This window comes from Homo sapiens, chromosome 9 (genome assembly GCF_000001405.40).
Source record: "Homo sapiens chromosome 9, GRCh38.p14 Primary Assembly".
Lineage (NCBI taxonomy): Eukaryota > Metazoa > Chordata > Mammalia > Primates > Hominidae > Homo > Homo sapiens.
In genome coordinates this window covers 84,646,195-84,657,389 of record NC_000009.12, presented here as the reverse complement: position 1 = coordinate 84,657,389, position 11,195 = coordinate 84,646,195, and the positions used below count along the sequence as shown (strand labels likewise).

The following is an 11,195-nucleotide window of genomic DNA, read 5'->3' as shown; positions in this document are numbered from 1 at the left end:
AATAAGAGGTAGAAAATACTGCTTTGTCTCTATTATCTGTTAATGTCTCACCATCTGCCCAAACTCTGGTCTTGTCACTTCATCCTTCTTACTCTAAGCCTGGTTCAAATCGTCCTTTTTTTCTTTTTTCTTTCTTTTTGTTTTGTTTTGTTTTGTTTGAGATGGAATTTTGCTCTTGTCGCCCAGGCTGGAGCGCAATGGTGCAATCTCGGCTCACTGAAACCTCCGCCTCCTGGGTTTAAGTGATCCTCCTGACTCAGCCTCCCTAGTAGCTCGGATTACAGGCACCCGCTACCAGGCCCAGCTAATTTTTTGTATTTTTAGTAGAGATGGGATTTCACCATGTTGGTCAGGCTGGTCTTGAGCTCCTGACCTCAGGTGATCCACCTGACTCAGCCTCCCAAAGTTCTGGGATTACCATTGCCCAGCCCAAATAGTCCTTTTCTGTTGCTCTCTATTTATTTCACAACAACTTTCACACATTCTGTACTTCAGTCCTTCTGCCACTGTTGTCACAGTTTTGTGCTGCCCTATTGTATTCAAAATTTGGCTATATACCCACCTTCCATCTTCTTCCACACCAAAATCTACAGTGTAGTTAAGCAGAGTCTCATTTCTTCCTCATGAGGATCATTCATGCCTCTGCTGTCAGGATTTTGTTTTAGAATTTCCTTTCTCTCTCAAATCAGTATTATTTTCTAGAGTCATTCAGTCAAAGGGTTTTATCTACATTTCCTAAAAAAAAATGCAATCTGTCTCTTGAAGTCTAGAATGCACAGAAGTCTTCTTAGGATCCCATATTTAAACAGTTTAATCTCCAGCGCCACAGCCAGATCAGTCTTGGTCTGGTGTAAATGTACCCGCCCTCACCACCCACCAAGAATCTTCTCCATGTCTCTTACACTTCTCTATGCAAATCTTTACCTTTATTACATAATTAGCTAACTCTCAATCAATAAAGTAATTGCTCTCTATCAAAAGGATAACTTCTGGAATTACACGAACAATAATACACAGTTATTGGTTGTGAAGGAAATGTTTTATACAGTCTTAGAACTTTCTGAAGGCATCTGAGACTACCTTATAATCAGAAGCATCTACAAGCCAGTGGAGACCTACCAATGTCAGTGCCCATACAATGACTTCCAGGGAAGTATTTGGAGGTGGGAAGCAGCCCTTAACAACCAGACTTTTAGTTATCTTCAAGTCAATTGACAGGCACTGTTAACACTGGAAATATAAGTAGGAAGAAGGCATCACTCCTATATTCTAAGAATTTGAAATCCTATGGGAAGACACATGCTAGATCATTTCAGTGTGTATGGATAATACTGGACGCATGTACTGGGTCCTATAGGAGACAAAGGAGGAGCACAGAGCTCCCTCTGGGATCCAGGTAAGGCTTCATGGATGCACTGACCCTTGAGCTGAGTCTGAGTCCTAAAGAATGCACTTAATATCTCAAAGAAGTGACCAGGAGGATGGCATGAGTAAAATGCAAGGAGGCCGGAAACAGCATGGCGTGTGAGAGGAACCACATGCTGCTCAAATGTTGGCCACGCCTACACCTTTCCTCTATCCGCCCAAGAAAATCAGCACCAACTGTGCATGCTGGCCTCTTGCCCCCAGATTAGACTCTAAGAAGACATGGTGATGTTTTTTTCACTGCTTCCTTTTGCTTTGATCAGCAGGCCCTGAGGCCAGTCCACACTCAGCAACACAGCAGCCTGTCTAAAGTATGTTTGGTAATTTCCGCCAAGACCTGCATCTGATAGGCCCTGGGGCGCTTCCAAGTATTTTCATGTGTGGACCTCTCCTTCTGCTGTTCCTCCTTCCCTCTCCCGGTGACCCTCTCCCTTGGCTTTACATAAACTTCTGTTTTATCCTAAATATGAGGAACTGAAAGCCTTAGGGAGACAAAGTCCATATCAGAATTGCACTTCTGAAGTCATCCTAGTGAAGAAACAACAGAAAACAAATTATTCTGCTGAATGAAGCCACTCCTTGATATTCTGTTATTTTTCACCTAATTAGTTTCTCTTTCTTAAAGAACCTTTGTGGGATTGGGCACGGTGGATCATGTCTGTAATTCCAGCACTCTGGGCGGCCGAGGTGAGTGGATCGCTTGAGTCCCAGAGTTTGAGACCAGCCAGGGCAACATTGCAAAACCCCATCTCTACAAAAAAAAATACAAAAATTAACCAGGTGTGGTGGTGCCTGCCTATAGTCCCAGAGGCTGAGGTGGGAGAATCGCTTGAGCCTGGGAGGAGGAGGTTGCAGTGAGCTGAGATCGCACCTCTATACTACTTCAGCCTGGGTAACAGAGTGACAGACCCTCATTCTCTCTCAAAAAAAAAAACAAAAACAAAACAAAACAAAAAAAAACACCTCTGTGATCAATTGACTGACCTCATGTCTTGTAATAAAAATACCTCTTTTCTGTTTAGAAGCCCTAGAGATTCTGCAAGCCCTGTTTCTTTGCAAATACAGAAATTGCACCTTTGACCTTCCCCCCACTGCTCTTCAAAAGTTTCAGTAAACCTTCTCTACCACCTGGGAGACATCTTCTGTGCATGGGGAAAGATTTCTTATGGATTAAGGAGAAGGTGCTGGAAATGAGAGAAGCCCTCCTGCCTTCTGTTTCCTCTTAGCCTCTCAAGTGACATATATAGAATAGAAAAATCAGTCCCCAAATATAATTCAGCTTCTGAGGGCAGGAGCTACTCCTATAGCTAATTCTGTGTTTTCAGTAGTCCAGAATATTTCTAACAATCTTAAAAGAGTATCAGATCCTCAAAATACAACTTTAAAACATCAATTCTTTTTAACCTAAATTTGAAAAGATGTGTCACTCAGTACATTTTGGATTGGGAGAGGATATCCTGAGAGCACTGCCAGTGGTCTCACAACCCCAAAGTTATCAAAGATTATCAGCCACTGCCTCTGGTGCTAAATCTCCACTGTCCTTTGGATTCTGTTCTCTAAATAAATGAATAAATATTATTCGAAGAAATATCACAAGGTTGTTTATGGAACAAAGACATAGTGTGGTGTTAGGTTACCAATTTGCCTTTCTGTGCCTGCAACTCTACATTTAACAAAACTCTATCTCACGAGGCTCTTGGATGACTAATTAGATATTGTCTTTGAATGTCCGCAACTTTAAGTCTGAAAGTTTCCTTTTTCTTTGAGGTGGAGTCTCACTCTGTCACCCAGGCTGGAGTGCACTGCCGGGATCTCGCCTCACTGCAACCTCCGCCTCCCGGGTTCAAGGGATCCTCCTGCCTCAGCCTCTGAAGTAGCTGAGACTATGGGCACGTGCCACCAAGCTTGGCTAATTTTTGTAATTTTAGTATACGAGGCTTTACCATGTTGGCCAGGCTGGTCATGAACTCCTGACCTCAAGTGATCTGCCTGCCTTGGCCTCCCAAAGTGCTGGGATTACAGGCATGACCCACTGTGCCCAGCCCTGAAACTTTCTCCATGTGAAGGATGTTGCCTCCCAAAAATGGTTGTATTACCTTTATTAACCTCATTTTGTGAGTGAAGAAAGTCATACAATGAAGGCTTAATATCACTTCAACAAGGATTGAAAGTGTCACTTTAGCCCATGTTTTTTAGTATGGAAGGAATGACAGAGAGCTGAGATGGTACCTCTGTGCCTATAAAAGGCACTGCCCTGTAGCTGGCCATCGGGAAAAGTGGCAAGGCACAGAGTAACCTCACCTTACCCCAGGAGCAGCAGCAGCCTTCTAGCCTCCTTTTCTTTGGTGTTTTTGACACAATCTTAGGGCTGGCCATAAGGACCAAATTACCTCCGTACTGCGTGGACTACGTTGGGTGTCTAATTCAAGAATGTCAAAGAGCTTCTTGTTAAGTTAGCCTTTCCTCTTCCTCCTCCTTTTCATCCTGGGATATGATATTTTTCTTTGCAGAAATGAGAGTGTTCCAGTGTAGTTAGCTTTCAGTGGCTACCAGAGAAAGAGAAAGAGAGAGAGAGAGAGCAAGAGTCTCTTTCACTCTTCTTTTTAATATCTACCTATGAGTTGAACTCTGTCTATATGCTTGCCAGAGTATGGCATAAGTCTTTGCATAAAAAAGAAAGTTTTTCATTTTATTAGTTTCATAAGAAATACTATAAAGAGGTTATCATAGCCTAGCCCAAGACTTGCTCCGTCCAAGTACCTGGACCCATTGCCTACCTTGCGCTAGAACATATGGTGTCTAGATTTCCTTCTGCATCCCCTGTGTCTGCTAGGGTCTTTGCTCTATCTAGATCAGAGCTGAAACATACACGTGAGACTCCAGCCTACATGTATTTAGCACAGAGACTCAAGACTGAGCAGAGCCAAGTTCTAAACAAAGCAAAACAAAACTCAAAAACACTTGCATGTATTTTCCATCTCTTTTCTTCCCTCATCACTCTTCTTGATTACTGTTTATTTTTCAATATTTCTCAGCAACACAAGCAGTTTTGTTTCCGCTCTGTTTCCTATCACTTCTCTCCAGACAGCCAAAGGCAGTGAAGCAGAAGTAAGACTGCCATCTTGTGCTCAAGATGGTTATCATGTTATCATTTTCTCAAATCAAATAAAAAATGATTTGTGGGGTTTGAGAGAAGGTGTTGGAGCCCAAGTCCGACATTCCCTGACCTAGGTTTTCCCAGAAGATTTTGAACTCTCCCACCCTTTGGTATTGCTCTTTCTTGGCCTTCACGCTCCAGGATGCCATGAGTCATCCTTAGTCAAAAGCCAACTTTTTTTTAATGACTTTAAGTGTGACTTAGAATAATTATAGTTCAGATGCTATCACTTATGCTTTTATGACTGAGCTCAGTGGCCCAACTCAGAAGGGCAGGCACTCAACTTAAGGACTAAAGCATGACAGGTTATTCAAAATCACAGATCTAGTGGGTATTCTCTGCACTCTACCACCACTTCTGTGTTGGAAGCCCACGACTCACAAATTGCATGCTGCATGCTAGGCCTTCAAAATGACTGGAAGTCCTGTAGGGTCAGGATGTTACAGGGCCTAGGAACACCCAGTGATAGGCCACTCTCGGTGACACTTCACTACCAATCAACAATTAATGGGCTTAAATAAATAATCAAAGAAAAACAGAGTAAAGGAGAGAGAGAGGAGAAATGGAAGGAAATAAAGAATGACAGGCCAAGAAGAGAAACCTAAGGAGGTCACAAATGTGAGGATTTAAAGGGAATGATGAGAGCACCACATAGAAACAAGCACTGGACAACTAAAGCAATAATGCAAGGAAAACAATAATGAGAGGTGACACTGAAAAGGGGTCTCAGTGTTGGGGGGTCAGCAAGGATTGGTGGAGACTGTAGTGAACTGGAGAGAGCATGTCTTCTCTAAAGAAGCAAGCAGCTCCAGGCAATGACATGGTTGCCAGACAGGAATGTGGAGCTACTATCACTGAATCTTCTGATTTTTAAAAAGAATTTGTAGATCTACATTTGCATATTAAATCTTCAAATTTGTTTTAAGTCAGCTCAAGATTTTTTTTTAGAACACTGTGTGGGACAAACATGTCTGCAGGATTATTTGGCTTATGCTTGCTTGTTTAAAGCCCTTTCCCTCTGCTGACACAAAATTTTATTGATAGGTAGGCACATAAATAGATACCATAGCTGTAGCTCCATGCCATCTTCCTGTCTCCCATTCAAGAAAGTTTACAAAAACACAAGTAAGGGAGCATCATGAATGGTACAATTGACTGCTGTCATTTCTTTATATACAAAAAGGATTTACATAATTATATGTTCAAAAGCAAAAATAGCAATAATAAGCTCAACCTACACTTTACTGCTCATACAAAAATTTATCCCAAATGGAACATGGACTTAAATGTAAAATTATAGAATATTTCAAAAAAAAAGTCATGGAAGAAAATGTTTGGGGCCTAGGGCTAGGTAGAGTTCTTAGATTTGATGCAAAAAAGTATAATCCACAGGAAAAAATTAATAAACTACACCTCATCAAAATTAAAAATGTCTGTTCTATGAAAGATCTACTGAGAAGATTAAAAATCAAATGACAATGTGGAAGAATATATTTGCAAACCACATAACTAAAAAAGGAAGCTATATCTTGAACCTGTGTTTCTACAAGGAATTCTCAAATCTCAACATAAAAAACAAACAAACAATTCAATGAAAAAATGTACTTAGACATGAACAGTTATTTCATTGAAAAGGAAATAAGTAGACAGTAAATAAGCACACAAAGAAGTGTTCAACATCACTAATCACTGGGGAAAATTAAAATAACAATGGCAATATTACAACACACCTCTGAGAATGGCTAAAGTGAAAATTATATTAACATCTAATGTTGGCAATGATGCGGAGAAACTGGGCCATGCATACATTGTTGGTGAAAATGTAAAATGGTTCAGCCACTTTGAAGAACAGTTTGATAGTTTTCTCTAAAACTAAAAATGCACTTGCCATATAGCCCAGCAACTGCAGTTTCGAACATTCATCCCAGATAAAAATTAAAAGCTACATTCACACAAAAACTTATACATGAATGGTCAGAGCAGCATTATTCATTATAGCCCAAAATTGAGAGAATTCTTAACTTTGTCAATGTACGCATGGTTAGACAAACCATGGTACATCCATACAATGGAATACTATTCAGTAATATTTTAAAAATGAACTATTGATATACACAACAACTTGGATGTACTTCAAGGGAATTATGCTAGGTGATAAAAGTTGATCTCAAAAGGTCAACTACTACTTGATTCCATTTATGTAATATTCTGAAAATCAGTTAATTCAGGAACTACCGGACAAAGCTACAAAAACATTAAATAAAATAAATACTTAGGAATAAGTTTAAACAAGGTGGTGAAAGATCTGTGTACTGAAAACTATAAAACATTGATTAAAGAAATTGAAGAAGATGGCCAGGTACAGTGGCTCACACCTGTAATTCTAGCACTTTGGGAGGCCAAGGCAGGTGGATCACTTGAGGTCAGGAGTTCAAGACCAGCCTGGCCAATATGGTGAAACCTCATCTCTACTAAAAGTTCAAAAATTAGGTAAGCATGGTGGTGGGCACCTGTAATATCCCAGCTACTTGGGAGGCTGAGACAGGAGAATTGCTTGAACCCAAGAGGCAGAGGTTGCAGTGAGCAAAGATTGCGCGCCACTGAATGCTAGCCTGGATGACAGAGTGAGACTCCGTCAAAAAAAAAAAAAAAAAAGAAGAAGAAGAAAGAAAGAAAGAAAGAAATTGAAGAAGACACAAATAATTAGAAAAATACACTGTGTTCATGGAATAGAAGTACTAATATTGTTCAAATACCTATAGTACCCAACATGATCTACAGATTCAGTGCAACCCCCATCACAATTCTAATGACATTTGCTCATAGAAATAGAGAAAAAATTCTAAACTTTTCATGGAAACACAAAAGACCCAGTATAACCAAAGCAATCTTGGGCAAAAAGAACAAAGTTAGAAGCGCCACACTACCTGATTTCAAAATCTCCTACAAAGCTATAGTAATCAAAAGCGCATGGTACTGACGTAAAAACAGACACATAGACCAATTGAACAAATAGAAAACCCAGAAATTATTTAATTCAATTTAATTTAATTATTAAATTACTTTTGGATTTTTAAATAATTTGATTTATTCATTATCAAAAGAAAAAACATTACAAATGTTGGCAAGGATGCAGAGAAAAGGGAACTCTTTTACACTGTTGGTGGGAATATAAACTAGTACAGCCATTAGGGAAAAGAGTATAGAAGTTCCTCAAGAAACTGTAAGTAGAACTGCCATATTACCCAGCAATCCCAATGCTTGTAATTTGCCCAAAGGAAAGGAAATCATTATAGTGAAGAGACATCGGCACCTCCTTGTTTATTGCAGAACTATCCACAATAGCCAATATATGGAATAAACTTAGGTGTCCAACAACAGATGAATGGATAAAGAAAATGGGATATATACATATATATACACACACAATGGAATACCATTCAGCCATAAACAAAGAATGAAATCATGTCATTCACAGCAACATGCATAGAACTGGAGGACATTATGTTCAGTGAAATAAGCCAGGAACAGGAAGTTAAACACTACCTGGTCTCACTCATATGTGGAAGCTCAAAAAAGTTGATCTCATAGAAGTAAAAAATAGAACAAGGATATGAGAGGCTGGGAAGGAAAGGAAAGGGGAGGATAGGAATAGGGAGAAGTCTGTTAAAGAATACAAAATTACAACTAGATAGGAGGAATGAGTTCCAGTGTTCCATGCCACTGTAGGACGACCATCCTTAGCAATAATAGATGATACAGTTTAAAATAGCTAGAAGGAGGATACTGAGCCTTCCCAACACAACAAAATAAATGCTTGAGATTGTGGATATGCTAATTACCTGGATCAGATCACTATACTATATATTATATGTATCAAAACATCACTATGTACCCCAGGAATATGAACAATTATTTGCCAATTAAAAAAAATAAAATTAACCCAAAAATGTGGTATATATGCATACACTGAAATACTATTCAGCCTTTAGAAAGAAGAAAATTCTGTCATTTTTGCCACAACATGGAGGAGTCTGAAGGACATTATGTTAAATAAGCCAGGTACAGAAACGCAAATACCATAGGATCTCACTTGTACGTGGAATTTAAAAGAGATGGAGTCATAGAAGCAGAGAGTAGAATGGTGGTTAGCAGAGGCTGGAAGTTGGGGTGGGGCACAGAGATTGGGGAGATGTTGGTCAAAGGTTACAAAATTTCAGTTAGACAGAAGGAATAAATTCAAGAGCATGGTGACTATAGTTAAAAACGATATATTGTATACTTGAAAATTGCTAAGAGAATAGATTTTAAGTATTCTCACCACAAAAAAATGTTAAGCATATGGTAATAGATATGTTAATTAGCATGATTTAGTCATTCTGCAATGTATACATTTATCAAAACATCTTGTTTTACACTATAAATATATACAATTTTTATTTCTCATTTAAAATAAATTTTTAAAAATCAGGTATCTCCTACTTCAGTGAAACTTCTAGGGGTCCAGTGGTATGGGGCATGTCAAGCTATCCCTCTGAAGGTAAAAGATGAGTTGTTGCATCTCGTCTTTCCTACAAGCAAGAAAGAGGAACAATGCCTAGTGGACTTCTTCAAACATTGAAGACACATTTCTCATTTGGGTGTGTTACTCTGGCCCATTTACTATGTGGGATCTGAAAAACTGCTAGTTTTGAGTGGGGGCCCAAAACAAGAGAAGGCTCTGCAAAAGGTCCTGGCTTCTGTGTGAGCTACTCTGCTACTTAAGCCATAAGATCCAGCAGATCTAATGGTGCTTGCAGGGTCAATGGCAGATAGAGATGCTATTTGGAGCCTTTGGCAGGCTCCTGTAGATGAATTGCTGCACAGGCTCTTAGGATTTTGGAGCAAGGCCCTACCATAATCTGCTGATAACTGTTCTTCTTTTGATAAACAGCTCTTAACCTACTACCAGGCCTTAGTGGAGACTGAACAGATGAGCATGGGCTATCAAATGACCACACTACCTGAGCCGCCCATCATGGACTGGGTATTTTAAGACCCACCAAGCCGTGGCATTGGGCATGCACGACAGCACTCCATTGTCAGATGGAAGTAATATGATTAGGCTGGGCATGCAATGAAATCACAAATCAGCTACATGAAGAAGTGGCCCAAATGCCCACAGTCCCCACTCCTGCTACACTGCCTTATCTCTCCCTGCCTGCATCTATGGCTGCATATGGAGTTCCCTATGATCAGCTGACAAAAAAAAAAAAAAAAAAACTTGGGCCTGGCATGGAGATGGTTCTGCCCAATATGCAGGTATCAACCATAAGCAAAAGTACTGTAACCCCTTTCTGGGGCATCCCTTAAGGACAGTGGTGAAGGGATATCTTCCCGGTGGGCAAAACCTTGAGCAGTGCACCAGGTTGTGCACTTCTCTTGAAAACAGAAATGGTCAGATGTGCAATTATACACCAAGTCATGGGCTAAGCCAGTGGTTTGGCTGGATAGTCAGGGACTTGGAAGAAGCATGACTGGAAATTGGTGATAAAGAAATCTGGGAAAGAGGTACGTGGATAGGACTCTTAGAATTCTCAGAATGAGCAAAAAAAGTCAAAAAGATATTTGTGTTCCATGTGAATGCTCACCCAAAAGTGACCTCAGCAGAGGAGAATTTTAATAATCAGATGGATAAAATGACCCACTCTTGGATAAAAGTCAGCCTCCTTCCCCAGCCACCTAAGTCATTGCCCCATGGGCTCATGAACACAGTGGTCCTGGCAGCAAGGATTATTAGGCCCTGACTGACAGCACTGACAGATGGCCACCCCAGTCATTGCCCATGGGCTCATGAACACAGTGGCCCTGGTGGCAAGGTTATTCATAGGCTCAGCAACATGGACTTCCCCTCACCAAAGCTGACTGGCTATGGCCACTGCTGAGGGCTGAATATGGCACAAGCAAGACCAACCATGAGCCCCTGATATGGCACCATTCCCTGAAAAGTTCAGCCAGCTACCTAGTTGCAGGATGATTACATTGGACCACTTCTATTATGAAAGAGGCATTGTTTTTGTTCTCACTGGAATAGACACTGTGAATATGGATTTGCCTTCCCTGAATGCAATTCTTCTACCAAAACTACCCTCTGTGGACTTATAGAATGACTTATTTACTGTCATGGTATTCCATACAGCATTGCTTCTGACCAAGGAATTTACTTCACAGCCAAAGAAGTGTGACAATGGGCTCATGCTCATGGGATTCACTGCTCCTACCATGTTCCCCACTATTCTAAAGCATTTGACTGATAGAACCGTGGAAAGAGCTTGTGAAGATTTAGCTACATACAGCATCAACTAGGTGGCAAAACCTTGCTGGGCTAGGACAAGGCCCTCCAGAAGGCAGTATATGCTCTGAATCAGTATCCAGTATATGACACTGTTTCTTCCACAGCCAGGATTCAACAGGTAAAAACGGGAGTGTTCTCACTCATTATTACCTCTAGTGATCCACTAGCAAAATGTTTGCTTCCTATTCCCAAGACTTAATGTTCTGCATGCAGGTCTACAGGTCCAGAGGGAGGAATGTTTTCTTCAGAAGACACAACAGTGAGTGATTCCTTGACCTG

General features: G+C 40.4%; 1 long non-coding RNA gene across 11 annotated transcripts in view; it reads right to left on the bottom strand.

The window, feature by feature from the left end:
• Positions 1-358: 358 nt before the first annotated feature.
• LOC102724036 (uncharacterized) overlaps positions 359-11,195 on the bottom strand; it is a 247,231-nt gene continuing 236,394 nt past the window's right edge. For all 11 annotated transcript variants that reach the window (XR_007061623.1, XR_007061626.1, XR_007061624.1 and 8 more), the window contains 2 exons: positions 3,816-3,971; positions 359-1,953 (listed from right to left, as the gene is read on the bottom strand). This is a non-coding gene — a long non-coding RNA (uncharacterized LOC102724036). The remainder of the gene's footprint in view (positions 1,954-3,815; positions 3,972-11,195) is intronic.